Source organism: Homo sapiens, chromosome 7, assembly GCF_000001405.40.
Source record: "Homo sapiens chromosome 7, GRCh38.p14 Primary Assembly".
Taxonomy (NCBI): Eukaryota; Metazoa; Chordata; class Mammalia; order Primates; family Hominidae; genus Homo; species Homo sapiens.
In genome coordinates, this window is record NC_000007.14 from 107,680,250 (window position 1) to 107,703,772 (window position 23,523).

General features: G+C 39.7%; 1 protein-coding gene across 1 annotated transcript in view; it reads left to right on the forward strand.

Moving 5' to 3' along the window:
• The window catches only part of SLC26A4 (solute carrier family 26 member 4), a 56,982-nt gene that overhangs the window by 19,422 nt on the left and 14,037 nt on the right, over positions 1 to 23,523 (forward strand). Inside the window, exons 7-17 of the mRNA NM_000441.2 lie at positions 2,953 to 3,105; positions 3,206 to 3,288; positions 8,804 to 8,951; positions 9,875 to 9,988; positions 14,154 to 14,231; positions 14,372 to 14,467; positions 15,684 to 15,790; positions 17,793 to 17,862; positions 19,834 to 19,926; positions 20,852 to 20,947; positions 21,578 to 21,808. Coding sequence (NP_000432.1) covers positions 2,953 to 3,105; positions 3,206 to 3,288; positions 8,804 to 8,951; positions 9,875 to 9,988; positions 14,154 to 14,231; positions 14,372 to 14,467; positions 15,684 to 15,790; positions 17,793 to 17,862; positions 19,834 to 19,926; positions 20,852 to 20,947; positions 21,578 to 21,808 — 1,269 coding nt within the window. The remainder of the gene's footprint in view (positions 1 to 2,952; positions 3,106 to 3,205; positions 3,289 to 8,803; positions 8,952 to 9,874; positions 9,989 to 14,153; positions 14,232 to 14,371; positions 14,468 to 15,683; positions 15,791 to 17,792; positions 17,863 to 19,833; positions 19,927 to 20,851; positions 20,948 to 21,577; positions 21,809 to 23,523) is intronic.

Here is a 23,523-nt window from a genome sequence, read left to right on the forward strand (position 1 = left end):
TTATTATATAATCTTATCTTATTATATAATATAATCTTATCTTATTATATAATATAATCTTATATTATTATATAATCTTATCTTATTATATAATGTTATATTATTATATAATCTTATCTTATTATATAATGTTATATTATTATATAATCTTATCTTATTATATAATCTTATATTATTATATAAGTATAATCTTTTATTATATTATTACATAATATATAAGTATAATCTTATATTATTATATAATATTATTATTATACAATAATAATGTAAACTGACTATTGCAGTTTACATGGTGAGTTTTATTTCTGCACAGATTAAACTTTCTATCATAGAGCTCTTCTTAAAAGATTCTGAATGACTACTCAATATGTAGGCAACTTATTTACATACTCAGATACCTTGCATGATGCAATTCTGTAATATAAACTGATTTTGGTTTTTGAACCTCGTGTTACATTTCTAATCCACCAGACATACTTTTTATTCAAAGGTCTAATTGATTCTCATGGATTAAACTGGAATCCTGTAGTGATTATTTTTGTAAGGTAAAAATGTTTGTGTGATTGGGATAATGATTCCAAATGTTTTGTTTTTCAAGTTTTAATTTTTGCATCTTGAGTTGAAAAGTACACCTTTAATGAATAGACAATTCATCAAAATGTTATACCTAGCTCCTGAATTAATTAGGGTCATTCATCAGAAAACTGATTATGTAAAGGACCAAACAGCAATGATAACCTTCAAGCCTCTGGGATAGGTAGGGCTGTTTGCTCCTGTGCTAAATGCCCTAAGTTCTTGTTATCGTGTCTGCTGGTGGTAGTTATCCCATTTTCTTTTTCACTCTGCTGTCCCTGGCATCATCTTGTTTCTGTCAGTGTAAATGCCTTTAGCAATTTTCAGTGACTCTGAAAACCAGACAAAGTGAATTTGTTAGTACTGGATTTCAAGAAAGAGCAAAAGTACCCTCTGAGTGAAAGTTCAAGAGTCTTCCTACAAGTTAAATGCCTGAACTCTAGTCCAAGTGTTTGGTGGGAGGTATTTTGCATGCATAATAGCTTCTCCCCCATTTCCTTACTCTTCTTGAATGTGTTCCAGAGAGCTGAGGTTGCTGGCAAAGTGACTCCTAGATTACTTAAGGTTCATTAAGTACTTAAAGTTCATTAAGCTCATACATAATTGTCACCAGATTATCATTATAATTATTTTAAAAGTAGTTTATCTGTGAAAATAAGTAAAATACATTTTATAAATGTTATAAACTATAAGATGCTCCATTATTTTATCTTCCTATAAAATATGTCTATAAAAAAGCTCATTTAAAGAAAAGTTACCTTCACTGTGAGATTGTCTCAAAGAAATGTCTCAAAGATACCTTCTTAAATCCTGCCTTCTACAGGACTGAAGTTAATATAACAAAGATATTAGTGTTCTTCCTTGGGATTCTTCCTTGCTAATTTCCTTGAAAACACCCTTGATTCCCAGAAGTCTCCTATTTACAAAACAAAACTAGTTTTTCTTGAATTGATTCATCTGTCTACTTAAAGATTTTTTTTGGCCAGTTGTGGTAGCTCATGCCTGTAACCCCAACACTTTGAGAGGTTGGGCAGGAGGATTTCTTGAGGCCAGGAGTTCAAGACCAGTCTGGGCAACAAAGTGAGACACCATCCCCTGCCCCCACCTCCTCCCGCCCCAATCTCTACAAAAAATAAAATAGCCTATTTATTGTACTCTCTACAATAAATAAAATAAATATAGATGCCTGCCTGTAGCTCCAGCTACTCTGGAGGGTGATGTGGAAGGATTGCTTGAGCTCAGGAGTTCGAGGCCACTGTACTCCAGCCTGGGCAAGAGAGCTAAAAAAAAAAAAAAAAAAAAAAAAAATTTTTTTTATGTTATCTTAGTTCAAGTTTGAGAAATAAAATTAAGTACCAAATTTATTCCCAAAAATGTATGCTTGTCAGGAGATATACCTAATGTTAAATGACGAGTTAATGGGTGCAGTACACCAACATGGCACACGTATACATATGTAACAAACCTGCACGTTGTGCACATGTACCCTAAAACTTAAAGTATAATTTAAAAACAAAAAACAGAAAAAAACTACAGATTCAATTCAGCTTTAGGAATTAAAAAAAAGATTTGATGTAATTATATCATTATAAAATCAAATTTTTTAAATAAAACATGAAATTGTTTTAATTTAAAAAAAAGTATGCTTGGCCTATATGTCAATTCAATAGCTTTTCTTTGCCAGAAAGAATGAAGTCAGTCTACCTGTATCCACATATGAAGTATTTTAGGATTTTTTGTAATTTTTTGTTATTATCTATATCATTCAGGTTTAGGAAAGAACTTTACCTAAAATACTGGCTAATTGTGCCCCAAAAAAAAGAAAGCTAGAAAGAAAGAACACACACACACACACATACACACATATACACACACAAAAAAAACAACCAACTGATCAACTGGGAGTTTCAGGTTTATCAGCCTTTAGTCTCAATGCTGTATCACTGTAGTAAAAATCAGGCTACTTGATAGCACCTAGAAACCCATTTTAAAATATAAACTTGTAAAGCATTTCTGTAAGTAAAAGTTAGTATGTTTATAATGACATTTTTTCTTTTAAGACATCTTTATTATTATCATAAAAAATACAGAGAAGCAAAAATAAGAATGTAGAAATCACCCAGTTTTTCCTTTCCAAGTAAACAATCATAAAAAACTTGGTGTATATATATATTGCAGCAATTGTATGTATGTAATGGTCTCTGTATCAACCAACACATTTTTATCATTTTACTGAAACTTTTGAGTGTTGTTTGATGCTGATATCATGGTTTTTCATGTGGGAAGATTCATATGAGAATTGATTGTGTGTGTGTGCGTGTGTGTGTGCTCGTGTGCGTGTAGCAGCAGGAAGTATATAAAATTATTTTCTTTTTATAGACGCTGGTTGAGATTTTTCAAAATATTGGTGATACCAATCTTGCTGATTTCACTGCTGGATTGCTCACCATTGTCGTCTGTATGGCAGTTAAGGAATTAAATGATCGGTTTAGACACAAAATCCCAGTCCCTATTCCTATAGAAGTAATTGTGGTAAGTAGAATATGTAGTTAGAAAGTTCAGCATTATTTGGTTGACAAACAAGGAATTATTAAAACCAATGGAGTTTTTAACATCTTTTGTTTTATTTCAGACGATAATTGCTACTGCCATTTCATATGGAGCCAACCTGGAAAAAAATTACAATGCTGGCATTGTTAAATCCATCCCAAGGGGGTGAGTGTGGTGTTCCTCTTAGTACTAATACATTAAGTCAGTAAGTCAGTCTTTTTTATTTAAATAAAACCTTTTATTACAAGCTTCATTTCACTGATACTCCTTCAATAGTCCTATTTGTGTGTGATCTGGAAGAAACAACCATAAGACAAACAGTATGTGTGTAGATAAACGTCAAGCCATTTGTTTAAAAGCAGCCCGTATATGCTCTTTTTTCTTCATTTTCTTAAAACATGGCAGAACATGTACGGTTAACACCAGAGTCCTGATTTAAACTTATACATAACATTATAATATAATATAAATAGAATCATTTCTCAGTAACATCTATTGCACTGTGAACAATCTGCTTAAGGAATCAGGGACGTCTGGCCTAAATTCTCTATCATTTAGTTTAATCAATTTTGGATAATAATTATATCCTCGTACCCATAAGTAAAATGCATTATCTTCAAGGGAAGTTTTAGAAACATTTGGTAGTTTGGTGAATTAGAAGAGTAAAAGATCAAGGTCCTTCATTCATCTCTGTCACCTTCCAGTTTTGTGACCTGAGGAGATTCTCCTATATAAGACAAGGATAATGAAAACAGCCGAAGCCTCAACTCAAGCTTATTATGAAACACCAGTGAGATCTCTCATGAAATGAAGAGTAGTCAAGACACCCTACACCATAATTTTCTCATATGGGGTTACAAAGGAGGCCTAGACGTTTATTATATTTGTAACATACACTCATAACATTTAAGACTAGACTTGCTGTTAATCAAGAAGTACTAGTTTTCCCTAAGACTGGAAGAGTTTGGTACCGGTGTTTCTACCAGGAAAGGGAGTGGAGGGGAGGGAAGGGCACGGAGCCACTGTTTGGTACCAGTGTTTGTTTTCCATGCTCTTAATAGAAACTTCCTCAGGCAAGCTTATTCCCAGAGCTTATTCTACAGGGAACTGCTGTATTCCCATTTGATGAATCTTATAATTTCCTCTAATATCTGTTCCAAACTATTTGAAAAAGCACAGCTGGCTACATGGGACTTAATTTGCATGCTATCCATTACAGTGTTTCTCAAACTTACCCTTTTGTAAGAATCACATGGGATCCTTTTTCACACAGATTCCTGGTTCCCACCCCAAACCTATTGAATCAGGCTTTCCAGAGGTGGGGCTCAGGAATTAATATTTTTCAAAAGTGCCTCAAGTGATTCTTGCCCTCAAGGAAACTGGAGAAACTCTTTAAGAGAGGATCAACAAATCTAATCTAACAACTAGATAATTTCATTAGTTAGAAACAATTACAGAAAAAGATACTTTACAGATCTCTTTTGTCAGGCTTCCTAGGATGTATCAAGTTATAGGTGGTCCACAGAGCAGGCCCTGTCCCATCCATCCGTGTTCCATTAGTTGGTTTAGGGAACTCATTTCTTCTGCCCTAAATTATCCCTCCAGGTCCTCTGCAGAGCTTTCCTGTGCTCTCCTCCTGAGAACAGATTTCTAGCCTCTCGCCCTTGAGTTTAATGAAGCTGAATCCTTTGACAGACCACCTGGTCAGCTTGGTCAGCTAATTTAACCTGCCTGGCCCCAGGGACTTTAAGCTACTCCATGAGGGCAGTGACCCCATTGGTGTTGTTCAGCTCTGTCCCAGAGCACAGAGCTCATCTCACAGTAAGCTCTCAGAAAACACTTGTTGAAGGAATAAAATACCCAAGCCTATGTCATTATAAACAAGCCACAACAAAGGCCTTGGTTATCTGATCTCACTTGGTAGCACAGAAGCAATTCTGATGATATTAACAAACCTGAAAAAGAAAGGGAGTGGAGAGATTGGAAAAAAGCAAGCAGAGTTTTAAAGTGGCCCTGAGGTGAGCACAGTGAAAGGAAGAGGGACAGAGAGATTGTGATATGCCCCCTTTTGATCTCCTCCCTGCTTCAATCCTCCATTAAGGCTGCTGCTCGTAGTTCCCTTTATCCTATTGAGGGTCCATAAGTTAGGATCACTCCTAACCTAGGACCATACGTTAGGACCATAAGTTAGTCCCCAATAACAATGCCCCATTGGACAGCCAAAAACAGTGGCTCCATGCCCTTCCCTCTACTCCCTTTCCTGGTAGAAACATACAACTTTTCCTTGTCCAGTCAACACCTAAGCGCCCCACTAGGATTCACTCATTCTCCCATCCTGGGTGCTTTCTTAACCAGCAGACACTATGAGGGCCAGTCATGTGCCTCTCTTCTCATGCAACTGGTCCTTATCTGCAACTCGTAATCTGCCCAGTTCCTCACTCATCCTGCCCAGGCTTCTCTTTTACCTCTTCTGTTATAGTGGTGTGTGTGTGTCTGTGTGTATGTGTGTGTGTGTGCTCACGCACGTGTATGTGTAAACCCATAACAAGATTGACAGCTCTGTCCTCTAAATTTTAATCCCTATTCACTCTCTTGCCTCCTGTCCTTGCCAGTTCCAGAGGTCCCCTTGTTGTCATGTTTGTTACTCTCTTTTTTCTTTTCTTTTCTTTAACAGAGTCTCACTCTGTCACCCAGCCTGGAATGCAGTGGCATGATCTCTGTGGTGTGTGTGTGTGGGTGTGTGTGTGTGTGTATAAACCCATAACAAGATTGACGGCTCTGTCCTCTAAATTTTAATCCCTATTCACTGTCTTGCCTCCTGTCTTCGTCAGTTCCAGAGGTCCTCTTGTTGTCATGTTTGTTACTCTTTCTTTCATTCTCTTTCTTTCTTCCCTTCCTTCCCTCCCTTCCCTCCCTTTCCTACCTTCCCTCCCTTCCCTCCCTTCCCTCCCTTTCCTACCTGCACTCCCTTTCCTCCCCTTCCTACCTTCCCTCCCTTTCCTCCCCTTCCTTCCTTCCTTCCTCTCTCTCTTTTTTCTTTCTTTCTTTCTTTCTTTCTTTCTTTCTTTCTTTCTTTCTTTCTTTTCTTTCTTTCCTTCTTTCTTTCTTTTTCTTTTCCTTTCTTTCCTTTTCTGAAACAGAACCTCACTCTGTCACCCAGCATGGAATGCAGTGGCATGATCTCGGCTCACTGCAACCTCTGCCTCCCAGGTTCAAGCAATTCTCCTGCCTCAGCCTCCTGAGTAGCTGGGACAACAGGCACACACTGCCATGCCTGGCTAATTTTTAGTAGAGACGGGGTTTCACCATGTTGGCCAGGCTGGCCTCAAACTCCTGACCTCAGGCGATCTGCCTGCCTCAGCCTCCCAAAGTGCTGGGATTACAGGCACTGTTATAGACCCCTTTTGTCAGGTTTCCTAGGATGTATCAAGTTATAGGTGGCCCGCAGAACATGCCCTGTCCCATCAATCTGGGTTCCATTCATTGGTTTGGGGAACTCAGGCCTACTGTTGTTTTTAAAGTATGTGCTTTGCAGTTGTACTTGAAAGTGTGGCACAGGGGCAAAGCCAACAAAACCACAGGGTTTTTTTCCTGGCTGCTTTCTGAGGGCTACTCTTCTCCTCTAGCTGGAGTGGTGGTGCATTTGCCAAGTGTTCAGACCCAGTCTGAAGTACTCTGGTATTCTGTTTGGTATTCTGTTTATGACGCTGGCCTGTCGTTTGTGGAATTTTGGGCCCTTCAGGGTTCACTTCTCCCGGTCTTCATCTTTTCAGATAAGTGTGTGTTCACATGCTCACTCCCTTGGGCTCTTCATAGTGTTGTCTTATGATCAGGCCTGACATGCTTGGCTGGGGCCAAACAGGCCCACTGAGCAAAAAATTTGGAGAGTTATATCCACAGAAGGAGGGCAAGGGCAAGGGCAAGGACAAAAGGCTTACTTACAGGTCATTAGAAGATATCCAGACGGGACTTCAATTGGTTTGGGGCAAATAATTGGCACACTTAGGGTTCAGCAAGACAGCAGACATGAGTGGCAGGAGTATGACAGACTTAGATTCTCCCAATATATACCAAGAACCTACTATATGTGTAGACACTAATTACTTACTTACACAAGTGATTCCTCATTGAATCATATGAGAAGAATATATAGTCCCCATTTGACAGCTGAGGAAACTGGGATGTGGTGGGTTTAAATAACATGCCTAAAGTCATTTGAGAGTGATTCTGGTCCTTTGACTTAAGTCTTTGCACTTTACACTTTGCACACCTGGATAATCAAGGATCAGGTCATATTTGGAGAACTAGGCAGCCAGGCAGGCAAAGTGCATTAGGCTGCTATCAAAACTAAGCTGTATGTGAAACTGGAAAGTTATCCTGACAAGTCCGAGTGACCTGAAGTAGGGTTGACTGGGTCTCAGGAGCAAGTCAGGAGCCTGTTTTGAGAAGTGTGGTCCCAAGTCACATCCCAACTAGCAGGTGATGTCATGCTGAGTCGCCCAACTGTTGGATCAGGGTTTCCAACATCCTGTCTGTCTACAGATGGGGTTCATTCCACAGTCTCATTGTGGGGTAGGATGGGATATAAGGAGAAAAGGAGTCTGAAAATTAACCTCACTGGTAGGGAGAGTAAGGCTACAAGGGCAGAGAACCAGACAGATCTTGTTAGGTAGGAAATCGTCTAATATCTAACATTTAGACCTGGACCCACTAACTGACATCAAGCAAATCACTTCACGTTTCCAGGTCTAAGTTCCTTTATCAACAAGACAAGACAAGAGTGGTGGATTCAACAATACCTAGGATGCTTTCTCTATGGTTTTCTCTAAGAACCTTATTTCTATTTTATTTTTACCACTGTTCTCTAATTATAGGGGAAAATGTAGTTTCCTTATTAAAGAAACTTTAGGCATAAGTGATGTAGGTCGGGGAGACCTTTCATGGCTGGGGGCCTCTGGAATTATACCATATGGATAGTCATCAAGATATAGGTCCATCTCCCAAATTTTCATATTTGAGAGAACCTCGTGGTATAATGTGTAGGTTAATTTTTTTATATGGTTTGTAGGGTAGCTCTGGTTTTGTCAAACAGTAGTCATTGGACCCCACAATCACTGAGATATTTTAGTCACTATGGAGCGTTGTGATAATTACATTAATTTAATCTTTTTTGCCTTAAGAAGATTTTAAATGTCCTGGCTCTCAAAGGATTTTCCACTGAGCTCTTTTAGCTTCATACATTCTTTGTCTCTTTAACAGAGCTGATACCTCTTCAAACACAGTAAATCTCATATTATGGCTAGAATCTCTTTTAAATTCAAAGAACTTTAAGATGGAATTGTGGAAGGAGAAACACTAACATGTGAAATGGCATGGATGGGGCTGTATGATATTAAAGAATCAGTAACAGCAGATTTATTCATGTGAGAGATAGAGAAGAGTCAGCATGGCTAGGCTCAAAAATAGAGGACAAAGAAATCAGCCAGTAAGATAACACCAACTTCTGATTAAACATTATAAAAGCTGCTACTATCATGTATGTATTTCGTGTGCTTTTTGTTCTTTTGGATCAAGTACTTTCATGTCTAATATGTGACTGAGCAGATATAGCATTTGATGAGATGGGGAAAAAGGATGGTGGTCAAATCTTCACAGCATTTTTCACTTAAAAACTCACTAGGTTTTTGCCTCCTGAACTTCCACCTGTGAGCTTGTTCTCGGAGATGCTGGCTGCATCATTTTCCATCGCTGTGGTGGCTTATGCTATTGCAGTGTCAGTAGGAAAAGTATATGCCACCAAGTATGATTACACCATCGATGGGAACCAGGTATGGGTGCCCTTTTGCTGAACTGGTTTTATAGGGCTGGAAACAGGAAAAAAACATAAATGGAAAAGATTTTGGTGTCAGCTAAAGAAGGGGTTGGATTCTTTCACCAGACCTTATTGGGTTGGTTTTCCTCTTGTGTTTGCTAATTAGAAATTATTTTGGAATAGACACACTGCATCACTTTGCTTTTTTAAGAAATAAGTTGAAATAACACTAATTTTAAAAGAGCTAATTCAGTCAGGTCATAAATAACATTCAAAGTGAACATATTAGGTCAGAAAGAGAATTCTTCATGTAACCCAGTACCTCTTGGCAATTATTTTTAACGGCAGTTATAATGTGACAAAACAGTGCAACAAACATTAATAATAGTTGTGACCACTTTAAATTGAGGTGGTTCACTGTGCAGTTAATATATACAGGCAATTTTTGTAGGCATGTGATACATTGCCAGGTAAGCTGATTTCACACTGCTTGCAAATTTGCAAGTTCTGTATCTATATGTTTCTGAAAATACAGTATAGCAATAACAGTAGTTAAATGGTTAGTAATCAAGCAGAATAACAGCACTGCTAGTCATAATATGCTTCATAGTGAATATTCAACCACAGAAAAACACTTTATGTGAGAGCTGCAGACATTCCATTCACTAGGCAGTGAAAAAGCTTAGCAAATGATCAGGTGCTATTTCTTGTCAACTTTAAAAATTATCGAGAGCAATGAGACCTCTCTCAGATGGTATGGCGTCCAAACTCCTGATGTCGTACAAGGACCCCAAGTACCTATCACGGTAAAAATTAAATTGGACCACCACGCAGAGTAGGCATGGGAGTTTTCATTCTTAATGTACTTCCTGAAATACTCAGCGAAGGTCTTGCAAAGATTCAATTTGTAGGATCGTTGTCATCCAGTCTCTTCCTTAGGAATTCATTGCCTTTGGGATCAGCAACATCTTCTCAGGATTCTTCTCTTGTTTTGTGGCCACCACTGCTCTTTCCCGCACGGCCGTCCAGGAGAGCACTGGAGGAAAGACACAGGTAGGAACAACAGCCTTATGATATCCATCTCAGAGAACAAGTCGAGGAATGGCAACAGAGGAAGGCTCGCACCGAGCTTAGCAGGACAATTTGCCTTTCAGACTTGTACTTCCTAATCTGATTCACCTCAGGCCTATTCCTCTTGTTCCACTCCCTCACCTGAAATCTCTTAAAAAACAACATGTATGGTTTTCTGATACAGTGATTCTCAAATCTATTTGTCAGTGCTTACCTGTCATGTAGCTACACTTACCTGCTGTGGTCAATAACAACTGACAAGGAATCAGTAATGAAGGATGCTGATTTTTGTTAATTTGTTACCTGGGGAGACAGATGGCCTGGTAAAAGCGCTTCCTGGCTTTAGGAGCTATTCTATTTTCAGGAAAGTGAAAAGCTCTATTCACATTTCCTTTAGAAGGATCAGGAACTTCCTCCAGGGGCGTTTGGTCCCACAGAACAACAGTTTGCTAGCCAAGAATATTTTTGTTGTAACATTTTTGGCATTTCTTCCTGAGTAAGATTTATGTTGTTGAAGTTCTGCATGTGGGTTTAATCTTATCTTTTAAATGTGGTTTGCAGTTGTTGCCTTTACAAGGTGGCCAAAAAGCCAGCATCCTAGTTAATCTCTGGATAATCCCTCCTTCAGTGTTCAGAAAGCTCAGGAGCCATACTCAAAGGCCACTCTTTCCAGCAGGACACAGTCGAAGAGACCACACCAAGCAGATGGGCACAAGAGACAGACTCAGGAATTTTGCTTCTGTCTCTTATGCCTTGAGGTCCTTATCTTCCCAACACAGAAAGAACTATTATTTAGGAGTAAGAAGTGCATTGAGACTCCAAAGAACAACAAACCCAAACTACATAGTGCAATACACACACACACACACACACACACACACACACACATGCACACACACATGCACAGTCTTCACAGTCTTCAAATGGGTTTTACTAAGGCGGGGACACTTAAAAAATAAATATAAGTCGGGCACAGTGGCTCATGCTTGTAATCCCAGCACTTTGGGAGGCTGAGGTGGGCGGATCAATTGAGGTCAGGAGTTCGAGACTAACATGGCCAACATGGTGAAACCCCTTCTCTACTAAAAATGCAAAAATTAGCCAGGTGTGGTGGTAGATGCCTGTAATCCCAGCTACTTGGGAGGCTGAGGCAGGAGAATCACTTGAACCTGGGAGGTGGAGGTTGCAGTGAGCCAATATCGTGCCACTACATTCCAGCCTGGGCGACAAGAGCTAGACTCTGTGTCAAATATATATATACACACACACACACACACACACACACACACAAACATATATATATATATATATTCTCATATATATATACGAGAATAACTGAAAAAACTAATGACTCCAACAGTGACTTGCCCAGGGAGGGCTTTAATTGTCCCCAATATGCATGTGATGCTCCTTTCCTATTTATAATGGATCTTGTGACAGACTTGGAAGAATTGGCCTCTTCCAGTTTTTTGGCTGCTTTTCAACAAAAAATTTTATTTTCAGAATTTTTCTTAATTTTTTATTTTTTTTGCAAATATTTCCAGCTCTGAGGGAGCAGGTAAAATAATACAGCTCATATCCGGAGGCATAGCCAGAGATCTGTGGTCAAGGGGAAGAGGTCAGAGCCAATTTCCAAAGCTGTGCACATTTCAGGCTGCAGCTGTCAGCAGCAGGAACTTCTGCTGCTTTCATTTGAGACGGAGCACTGACAAGCTCTCCAGAGCACATGGTCTTCAGCGGGTGCAGGCAAATCTCAAACTGCTGATGTCCATTCTCCTGATGTTACCTCCAGGCTCAAATGAGGCATGGGCTGGCTGTCCCAGTAAGTATGCCCATGTAAAGTGACCTCCTTGGCACAGGGTTTGGGGGATAATGGTGCTCTGGTAAGCTAATACCCCCTGCCACATACTGGCATGTATTATATTTAGGAATGAAGGATGCCAGGATTTCAGCATTAAAGAATGAAACGAGTAAAGAAATGGCTTCATGTTTAATTATTGAAATGTATACTAAATTCTGGGGTTAAAAGTCTAAGTGCCTGAACTGAAATCCAGGGACTGATGGACAAATAAACTGGCAGGGCTTCTCTTGTGTGGCTTCTCGTGTTTTCTCTTATGTTGGAACTTCAGTTTCAGCATCTACAAAATGGAAATGATAATTGCATCCATTTCACAGGGATATTGTGAGGATTAGGCAAGAAAATGTAAAGCCTTAGCACATACTTGTAAATGCTCATTGTTTCACTCCTTTAGGCAAGAATAGCATCTTAGCATCTATGATACATATATTGTGCCTGGCACATAAGAAGCACCTGGCATATATTTGCTGAATGAATGAATGGAAGAATGAGTATTGGTGGACACGAACTGTTTTTAGCACATCTACAGATTGTAGAAGAATTAAACATTGGAACCTTTTCTTTCCCTCACCCCCATCTGACTTCCACTGACTCACAGAAAAGTAATTCTGATTACAAACCACTCTTTAGCTCTGATTACCCCCTCCCTTAACAGAATAATTTTTTAGTAACTGAATCTGGTTGTAGATATAAAGTCTACAGAGTTTCTCACAAACAAGCCTTATCAAGTAAGTAGAAATAATTGATCACTCACCAATTTTAATATAGTGGCCAAAATGAGCCTTGGCCTCCCATAATTGGAGACTCATTATGACATATAATTGGCAAGTAGGTGGCCACTCTCCTGGCATGAGTTTGGCAGCTGACTGTGGTCCTTGTCCCCAAATCTCCATATCTTTCTCCAGTTCACAGAGCTCCCCATCCACAGTGAGATGCAAGTGGCTCGGTAAATACTGGTTGAGTAATTGCATGCAAGGAAGGAAGGGAGGGATAAGGGAAGGAAAGAAAGAAGAAAATGGAAGGAAGGACAAGGGAGAGGAAGGGAAGGGATATGAAGGAAAGCGAAGAGAAGGGAGGGAAGTAGGATATCAGCTTCTCTGCTTAGTCAGGAGAAGGGAAAGAGCACCAGGGTACTGGGAATCTAGGATGGGGATAGGAAGAGCATAGAAAAGCCAGCCAGACATACAAAGCACGCTTTTTAGTACCTCATACACATCATATTGCCTCAGGCTGACCCAACTATAATCTAAATATAAATGATCAATTTGCCAGGTAGAGCAAGTGCTTTCTAATTTTCTGTTTATATTTGCTGTGTCTGTCTCCCGTAACTCAGACCTTTTGCACTAGACAGTACTTGTGCTCAACAAAATCTTCCCAGTTGTTTCCTCTCTGATTGCTTTGCTTGTAGTTCCCTGTCTCCTTTTCTTCTTTGTTTCAGAGCTTCTAATCTTCATCTTGGCTCTGCCCCAGCTGTCTCAACAGAGAATTCATTGGTCATCTAATCAAACGAGAGAGTAGTCCCCACCCCCTCAGCCTCTCTCCTAACTAGTATGGATCTTAGGAGAGCTATTTTTGCCAGCGAAGGTAAAGTTTCTGAAGCTTCCTTTTACCCCTGCTATTGCCCCGTTACTCCATAGTCACTGTTTCAGGCTGCCTTGGGGCAAAGCTCTGAGCCTGCCTCCGTGGAACTGTCAGAGGAGGCAGGAGACACAATCCCACCTCTCAATGTGCAAATGTGGCATTTCGAATTTGCAATAGGATGAGTAAATTTATTTTCTCTGAGACTTTAATGAGACCATGTGCTACAAGTACGAAGTGTTATCAGAGTTGCTATTATAGCTGCAGCTTCAATAATGCAGAAAAATCAGCTATGTGCCATGAGAATTTATTTCCCAAGAATACGACAATGATCTCTGTTGTTGGGAAAGGGGGGATTGGTCCATGTTTCCTGCCATGGTAAATAACTAGAAGCTTGGCCTGAATGGACGCCGAAACCGCAGGTGTGTACTATCACCAAATAAAATCCCTGTCAAACTGGCTTTAATTTCATAGGATCAGTCCCCATATTTTCTTTAACTTCTCTGCCATAGCATATATAGATGCCATTTTTGTTCAGTTTTGTGGCTTGAGCAAATAACTATCACTTTTCTCGACAGTATTGAGCAGAAGGGGGAGACAGGGAAGTATGAAGTGTGTCTGTGAACAGGCTGTCTCATACACACATCCAGTGAGCTGGAAGACACAAGGGAGAAGGACGAATCCTTTTCATAGGAGGTGTGTGTCTTCCAGGTTGCTGGCATCATCTCTGCTGCGATTGTGATGATCGCCATTCTTGCCCTGGGGAAGCTTCTGGAACCCTTGCAGAAGGTATAACCCTGCTTCTCTGCATACCGATTGCATAATTTCCCTTCACTACTCTGCTACCAGATAAATAACAGGAGATTTAACAATCATCACATGGAAAACCATTCCCTGAATAACACAGCCTTCTCTGTCTCTCTTGGCAGTCGGTCTTGGCAGCTGTTGTAATTGCCAACCTGAAAGGGATGTTTATGCAGCTGTGTGACATTCCTCGTCTGTGGAGACAGAATAAGATTGATGCTGTAAGTCACCTACCACCTATATTTATCTGAAATAAGATTTGGTTCTTATATGCTTCCTGCCATATCACTATATTCCCCCCATCCCCTAAGTCTCACTTGTGCTTTGGGAACTCCAGAGGAGAAATTAGAATTGTGGGGATAAATCAAAGCCATGAAGTCTTCCATGTGAACTGCATTTTGTGAAGATTCTGTATCTCTGGGAAGGTCAATTTCCAGCAAGAATCCCATATGAGGCTCATTCATACACCTTTGGCCTTCTAAACACAAAAAGCAAAAAAATGTTTAAACACCCTAGTTTAGAAGGACAAACAACATACAAAACAATGCAAAAACAAAATACAAAATGTAAAAACCCACGCTGACTTTAACTCTGACTAACATAACCTTTGCAACTATTCTGAGAAACTAAAAATCAGAAGCTAAATCCTTCAGAGTTCCTCTCTAATTTAAACCATAAAAAGAATGAGAAGACTTCCTACATATTGATATGGAAAATTTTCCAAGACAAATCGTTAAGTGAAAAAGAGACCAGAATAGAAATGCTGGGGAAAAGCACAGACACAGGCAGAAATAAAAGCGGATACAAGGAGGGAGGGAAGTTGGGAATGGGTGGAGAAGGGGGAGGGTTGTGAGCAAGAGTTTTCCCCTTTTTAATGATAATTCCCTTATGAACCATACAAATATATTAGCTATTCAAAAATTTAGAAATAAATAAAATGGGACAGTTGGTCTTAATTGAGAAGCCCAGTTTCTACAGCTACTTAAATATAAAATGAATGAAGTCACAATATTTTTAAAAAGCTGTGATTTGGCCAGGCACAGTGGCTCAGGCCTGTAATCCCAGCAATTTGGGAGGCAGGAGGATCACTTGAGCTCAGGAATTTGAGACCAGCCTGCGTAACACAGTGAGACCTTGTCTCTACTACAAATAAAAGATTAAAAATTAGCCGGGTTTGGTGGTATGTACTTGTGGGTAGTCCCAGCTACTTGGGAGGCTGAGGCGGGAGGATCACTTGAATCCAGAAGATGGAGGCTGCAGTGAACTATCATGGTGCCACTGCACTCCAGCCTGGGCAATAGAGTGTGACCCTATCTCAAAAGAAAAAAAAAAATGTAATTTGTTTGTGGATCATTGATCTTATTTTTATAGGTAGTTATCACATGATGGTACCTGATACATTAATATAATTCTTTTCATTTCTATTTTTTTCCCTAGGTTATCTGGGTGTTTACGTGTATAGTGTCCATCATTCTGGGGCTGGATCTCGGTTTACTAGCTGGCCTTATATTTGGACTGTTGACTGTGGTCCTGAGAGTTCAGTTGTGAGTAACGTAAAACCCAGATTTCCTATAAACAGAACAACACACTCTGAGCTTCCTTATACCATTTTGATAAATATAGTGAAGCCACTTTCTTTCGTTATAGTTACTGTATATTGAGTGCTTCTATGCATTAAGCAGACAGTGTTTTACAGACATACTTAATCTTCAAAAATAGCCTATGAATAGTTTTGATTAGTCTCATTCTACAGGTGAGAAAAGAGAAATTCAGAAAAGCTAAGAAGCATCCCTAAGATCACACAGCTAGTACGTGGCAGAGCTAAGATTTGAACCTATGTACCTACTCATGTCCTCTACTGCTGTGCTCTCCTTTTAGTTGTGGTAAGACTAAAAAGTACATAGTTTAGCCAAAGGCTGAAGTTGCTTTGTAGTTTCTTCTTTAAATGAGATGAGGAATGTAAGGCGCTCGGCCCCAGGCTTGGGACAAGACAGCTGTTATATATTATAGTTCATTTTCTTTTTTAAAGCTAGTAACCAAAAGTTACATAACCCAGAACAGGAGGACTTTAAAATAGCTGATGACAGCCAAAATTCATTCAAATCTCTCATATAACCAATAAGGCATATAACCAATAAACCACACAATTATGTGAAGGAAACAATTAGCTCATATGCAGAGTGAAGGCAGCAAAGACATGATTTAAATAATGGAAAACAGCCTGTGAGGGAAGGTGAGGAGCCTGAAGGTGGTTTTTTGGTTGGTTTTGTTTTGATTCTAGAGAGGCCTTAGTTAAGTGCCCTCCTGGGCCTAGAGGGGAACAGAGTCTTTCTCTCCCTCCTCAATGTGTCCATCGTCTTTCCAGACTTCTGGCCCCTGCTCTGCCTGTGCTTGGGCCGTGAAAGAAGAAGACACCTGGAAAAACATCAAGATAGATGTCTTCAGCTTAGCATCCGCTCACCTCTCCTGTCCCACCAGCCAGTTCTCCTTCCTGCCCTCCTTCCCTACCTTGGCATATTGGTGCCTACCCAAAAGGCTTGTGTTTTCTACCTCAGCATCCTAAATGATTGCCCAAGGGCCTGAGAAGGTTTGCAGGCTCCCAAAGTTCTCAATTTGCTTCTAGGACACGTCTCAGAAACGCTCCTTAGAAGATGCTGTCTCTCATGCTGTATATGCCTCAGTGTCTATTTTTTCTTGTGTGGATGTGGTTGGAAAAGAAGGGTTTTACAGAGAGAGATTAGCTTATAAACTTTTAAGTTAAAAATCAGCACAAACCTGTAAGCCAAGGAATAACTGGTGGCACATTTTAGCTGCTAGTTTGGTATCTAGGCTTTTAGCCAACAAAAAGCAGTATCCTCCACAGTATTTAATTTCCAGTAATTATCATGCTGATCCAGAGAGCACAATGCTGAAAGTACACTAAACAGATACTCTTTCTTCAGGAATTGTATTTAGCATGTCTCTAGTCACACATGAAGAGTCACGGAATTTATCTGATTGCATCAGGAACAAGAAATCAATAGTCTGGTTGACAGGAAGGACTTATTTCTGGTCCTCCAGTCTCCTATTTCTATAAAAAATGACTAAGTCACAAAGAAGCGCCAGGCACTGGAAGACCCAGGGGTTAAAGACAGAGGCTCTGCTGCCCTTTACCTCCAGGCCTTTTCTCACTTCTCTTAAGAAGTTTAGTTAACAATAAAAATCAGGATAATACTGATGACCTTTCAGGGTTATGGCAGGGCTTAAATAAGATTTCACATGCGTGAAAGCTCTATGCTTATCCTATAACGTGTTGTGCACGTGCAAGTATGATGCTCATTATTTCTCTCAGCCATCAGAAGAGAGGCACAGTTCTCCCCTCCCCTGCCGATTCCACACAAACACCAGCTGTTCATTTCAGAGTTAGCTACAGGAAAATGTCATCTGCAATAAAGACAGAGTCCAAAACACCAGAATGATGGGCTCTTTAGTAGCTGTTGTTTTTAACTTTTTATTCCAAAATACGGCTGTTCCAAAAAATCTTGACCTTGATATTTTTTCTTCTAGTCCTTCTTGGAATGGCCTTGGAAGCATCCCTAGCACAGATATCTACAAAAGTACCAAGAATTACAAAAACGTAAGTACCTTTGTGAGACATTTGCTGGACTTGGGTTTACTAGCCTGAAGTTTCAGCAGCTCCATTTTACGTACAAGGTAGCCAAAGGGAGAAAATGCCTATTGGGAAAGTCTGTTAGTCCACAGGGAGTGTCATGAAAACTTTTGATCCAGTGCACCTTCTGACACCCATGGCTTATGTGAATTTTGTCTATGCTAGCTGAATGTCTTTTTTTTTTTTTCTTTTTAGATGGAGTCTCACTCTTCACCCAGGCTGGAGTGCAGAGGCAGGATCTCAGCTCACTGCAACCTCTGCCTCCTGGGTTCAAGTGATTCTCTTGTCTCAGCCTCCGAGTGGCTGGGATTACAGGCAGGTGCCACCACGCCTGGCTAATTTTTGTATTTTTAGTAGAGATGGGGTTGCACCATGTTGCCCAGGCTGGTCTCAAACTCCTGAGCTCAAGTGATTTGCCCGTCTTGGCCTCCCAAAGAGTTGGGATTACAGGCGTGAGCCACTGCACCTGGCTAGCTGAATGTCATTTTAATATAAAACTGTTGTAAGAGGAATTTAAAAATAATAGGCAATTTCTAGATGTTCATCCAAAATTTTGTTTATCTGGTATATAATTCTTATCTTCTGTAAGATTTTCTTTATTCAGTTCTAACAAGAGATTATCAAGTTCTCTATGACCAAGACCTTATTATTTGACACTTTGCTTTATCCTTGGTATTAGAAGAAATAAAATATGACACAGGAAATGAAAAACAAAGAAATTAAACATCCCATTGATGGACTTGTGTCACCTGCAAATAAAATTGCTTAGTGGTGACTAGGGGAAACAAAGATAAAAAAGCAGAGAAAGTAAATCAAGAAAATACAAATTTAGCAAATAATAATAATAATAATATCAACCCTAGGAAGTTGTAGTCTAATTTTACCTTAACATTAAAAAAAGTTGGACCTTGAAACTGGGATTTCAGTAGCTGCTACTTAATTTATTTCCGTGATCTTTCTGTTATGTTGAGCCAAGTGCCATTAAGAGCTAAAATGATTTAGAGATTTTTTTGGCTTTGGGGAGGGAGCTCTAAGCTGAGTTAGGGAATTCTGACTTCTAGGCTCCATCTTGGTGAGACTTTGCCCAAGTCATTCAGCCTCTCAGGACCTCAGTTTTCTCATCTGAAGCAGCTAGACTAAAATTGCTGATTCCTGAAGACTAGAAAAGTCTATGATTCTGTGATTCCTGGGTTCTATTTTGGGTGTGGCCATTGTATGTCAGGGTGAGAACAGATGATATCATAGGCCTCAGTTCTGCAAATCCCATTGATTTTGCTTTTTTTCTTTGCTACTTTTAAAGAATGTTAGCAAAATCAGGAGGGTCAGTGGTATGAACTTCAGGCAAATCATGGCACTGTTCTAAGCCTCAGTTTCTTTTCTGGAAATCAGAGGGTTGAATAAATTGCTTTCTAAGGCCCTTTCTAACTTTGACCTTCTATGAGACTGTAGAGGTCCAAGAGTTTTTGTAACCTGTTGTCTCCCTATTCAAGAAAAGTTGTAGAGGCCGGGCACGGTGGTTCACACCTGTAATCCCAGCACTTTGGGAGGCTGAGGCGGGTGAATCACTTGAGGTCAGGAGTTTGAGACCAACCTGGCCAATGTGGCAAAACTCTGTCTCTACTAAAAATGGAAAAATTAGCTGGGTGTGGTGGCAGCACCTGTAATCCCAACTACTTGGGAGGCTGAGGCAGGAGAATCCCTTGAACCCAGGAGGTGGAGGTTGCAGTGAGCCGACATTGTGCCACTGTACTCCAGCCTGCGCAACAGAGTGAAACTCCATCTCAAAAAAAAAAAAAAAAGAAAAGAAAGAAAAGTTGAGTGCTGCTACCCAGCTCCTCTGAGCAACTGTGACTTGACTCCTTGCTAAGTAGCCAGAAATGTAATTAAATACTTGAGGCTTGAAATTATTTAATCCCAGACAATTTCTTTTAATGCCAGATTGAAGAACCTCAAGGAGTGAAGATTCTTAGATTTTCCAGTCCTATTTTCTATGGCAATGTCGATGGTTTTAAAAAATGTATCAAGTCCACAGTAAGTATTTTATCCCTAGAAATTTGTTTTCTAACCTCTTTTGAGACTTCATTCATTCTACAAGTATTTACTGGGGTCCAATCAGGAATAGGCCCTAGACCCTCTTCCCTTTGTGTAGGGCAATGAGAATTAAAATATAACATCCTTGCCTTCAAATAATTTACAGTCTATTTGGGGATTAAAAAAACACATATGTTAAAACCCAGGTAGTAATAACTATGCCAGACAAAAACATTAGAGATGTTTCTAGGCAGAATTTGAGTAAGTTTCAAATAAGTAGTATAGACAGTTGAGAGTTCATAGAAGGAAGAGATCCAGGTTAGTTGGACTAACAGGCTTTGTGCGGCAGTTGGCTGAAGGAAAGAAATCATGTCAAGTGTTTGAGAACTATGTGAGCTGAGAGACAGTGGAAACATGTATTGGAGGTAGGGTTGCCCAGTTGCAGCAAAAAGTAAAATATACTAGTGGAATAAATAAGTAGAAAATCCTGGCACCAAATGCCATGCTATGCTTTGAACTTGGAGTTTGCCTCTAAATCAGTGTTTTTCTAAGTGAGTTCCAGGGCAAACTGATTCAGAGGAATGTTCACAGATTTTGCAATAACAAAAGGGCTCTGTGATACCAAGGGAATTTGGAAAACCCAGACTTAAACTAAAGAGGGTATTTTGGGGTGTGTGTGTGTTTCTGTTTTGTCTTTTACTGTCTTGGAGCCTTTGATATGCTACTGTCTTCTCAGAGCTTCTGGGTAGGAGTAGGGTAGCCTGGGAGTAGACAGAGATCTACTCCATCAGACCTTACAATTTCTTTTTTGGCAGGATAGCTCAAGGAATTATACCCTTTGAGAAATAGCCTTTCCAGATAACAGTTGCCATTAATAAGCTTTAGGTGCCAGGCATTTTAAGTAACTTGACATTTATTTCCAAAGGTTGGATTTGATGCCATTAGAGTATATAATAAGAGGCTGAAAGCGCTGAGGAAAATACAGAAACTAATAAAAAGTGGACAATTAAGAGCAACAAAGGTGAGATGACATCTTTCTTTTCCCCCTTAAATTATTTCCTTTCCCTGATGAGAGCAGTTAGAGGGTCTAAAATTAAATCTATCCTCTTTAGTATCCAGATGTGAATGAACAAATGACATGTACGTATCAAAGAACAACTGAGCTATTCTTATAGGCAAGCGGGAGTGGAAGGGAATGAAATAAAATCAGCAGCGCTGCCTGGAAACACAGGATGTGATTTTTTTCCCCACCATGAACAGTGTCTGCATTATTTTCTATACTTTATTTTTACTGAAAGGAACAAAATAAGTGCAAATTCAATGCCAGAAAACTACCCACCATAGAAGGCAGTCTAAGTCCATAAACTTTTGGAGCTGTTAACTTTTACTCAGATTCTTCTGGCCAGTGTATTTCTTGGCAAAGTTCCACAATCATCCAGAAAACAAAAGTTTCCTGGCTCCTCTGTTCTCCCAGTTTTCTTCCTAGACAACATCAAAGTTTGGGCTGAGGTGAAACCCATCCTTAAAAATTCATCTCCTTGATGTCTTGCTTACCAAGGAACAGTGTGTAGGTCTTTTGGATAATTTGATATGAATGGTTGAAAGATTTCAAATCTTTGACAATTAAGTTGACAGTGTTTTCTTCGTTTAGAATGGCATCATAAGTGATGCTGTTTCAACAAATAATGCTTTTGAGCCTGATGAGGATATTGAAGATCTGGAGGAACTTGATATCCCAACCAAGGAAATAGAGATTCAAGTGGATTGGAACTCTGAGCTTCCAGTCAAAGTGAACGTTCCCAAAGTGCCAATCCATAGCCTTGTGCTTGACTGTGGAGCTATATCTTTCCTGGACGTTGTTGGAGTGAGATCACTGCGGGTGGTAAGGTTCTGGTTTTCTGAATTATACATTTGGAGCTTTGGCAATAGTAAAATGATGTGGGTTGTCCAGTATTGCAACAGGGCAAATACATGGGCTTTGTAATTTTTCTAGGTGAATGCTTTTGTAAAAAAGTGTAATATTTTAAAGCATAGGCTCTGGAGCCAGACTACCTGGGGGAGATACTGGCTTCACCACTTACTAGCAGTACGACCCTGGGCAAGTTGCTTAATCTGTCTATATCTCAGTTTCTTCATCTGTAATATGGAGGTAATGATGGTATCTACCTTCACAGGTTGTTACAAGGATTAAATAAGCTAATAGATATAAGGTGTTTAGAAGAGTGTCTGGTTCAGGCTGGGCATGGTGGCTCACGCCTGTAATCCCAGCACTTCGGGAGGCTGAGGCAGGTGGATCATGAGGTCAGGAGTTCAAGACCAGCCTGGCCAATATGGTGAAACCCCGTCTCTACCAAAAATACAAAAATTAGCTGGGCATGGTGGCGCACACCTGTAGTCCCAGCTCCTAGGAGGCTGTGGCAGGAGAATCGCTTGAACCCGGGAGGTGGAGGTTGCAGCTGAGATTGTGCCACTGTACTCCAGCCTGGGTGACAGAGTGAGACTTCATCTCAAAAAAAAAAAAAAAAAAGAATATCTGGTTCAAAGATACTCCCCAGCAAATTAATTCACATTTATTATGTTTTATCTTTCTGAGAATGTATAACAAGTGGTATATGAAAAGAAAAAAATGGGCAAAAGTTTATTAAGTATTACATTTCTATTTGTTATGTTAACAGCAACAGGATAAGGAATACCAGGTGTATGTTAGGACTGGAAAAGCCAGGCATTATTAAGAGGTTAGAGTAGGAAGCAGGTCAGACATCTGGAAGGTCAAAGCAAGAGTTGAGGAGTATGCAGGATAGAAACATTAATGATATCAGAAACCAGTTATGCAAGCTGAAGTTCATTAATTCTGTCAACAAATAGATGTGAAATGCCTAATGTGTACTGAGCACTCTGCCAGGCACAAGAGACTAGTGATGAAGTAGACACAGTTTCTACCTACGTGGGACTTAGCAGTCTGGAGGAGAAGGCAAACATTAAGTCATCTTATAAATAACAATTGTAGTAAGTGCTCCAAAGAAGATGAATAGGACATCACCTGAAGCATCAAGTTCAGTGAAGCTTCAGGTAGGTATCAAAAGGGTCAGGCAGAAAAGTAAGCAGGTCAAGACACCAACAATCAGATGTAATAATATAAAGCTGACTCCTAACTGAGGTTCCACTTAGCTAAGGCTTCTTTGCTACCTCTATAAGGGGAGGAAATGATTCCAGGATGTGGGTACTAGGTAGGTAGGGTAGAGAAGTGATTGTGCTTGGCAAAAGAGTATGAGAATATGCTGACAGGTTCTGTTCTAGTTCTCTTAGCAGATTTTGTTATTAGCTCATTTGAAATCACTCTTGTTCTTTGTTGTACATTTCACTCTAAGCATTGGCTGAGATCCATTGTAGACTATATTGGCCAGAGAGTTCAATGAATTACTTTTGGGGACAGTCTTAACATATTTAATGCCAGAATATTTCCCACACAACGAATATTTACTTTCAAATATTATAATGACAGTTATGATAGCTAAAGAAGACTCCAAACTTTATACTTGAACAGAGGTCTTGATTTGTTTTCCTCCATAATTCTCAAATTCTCTTTTATTATTGACT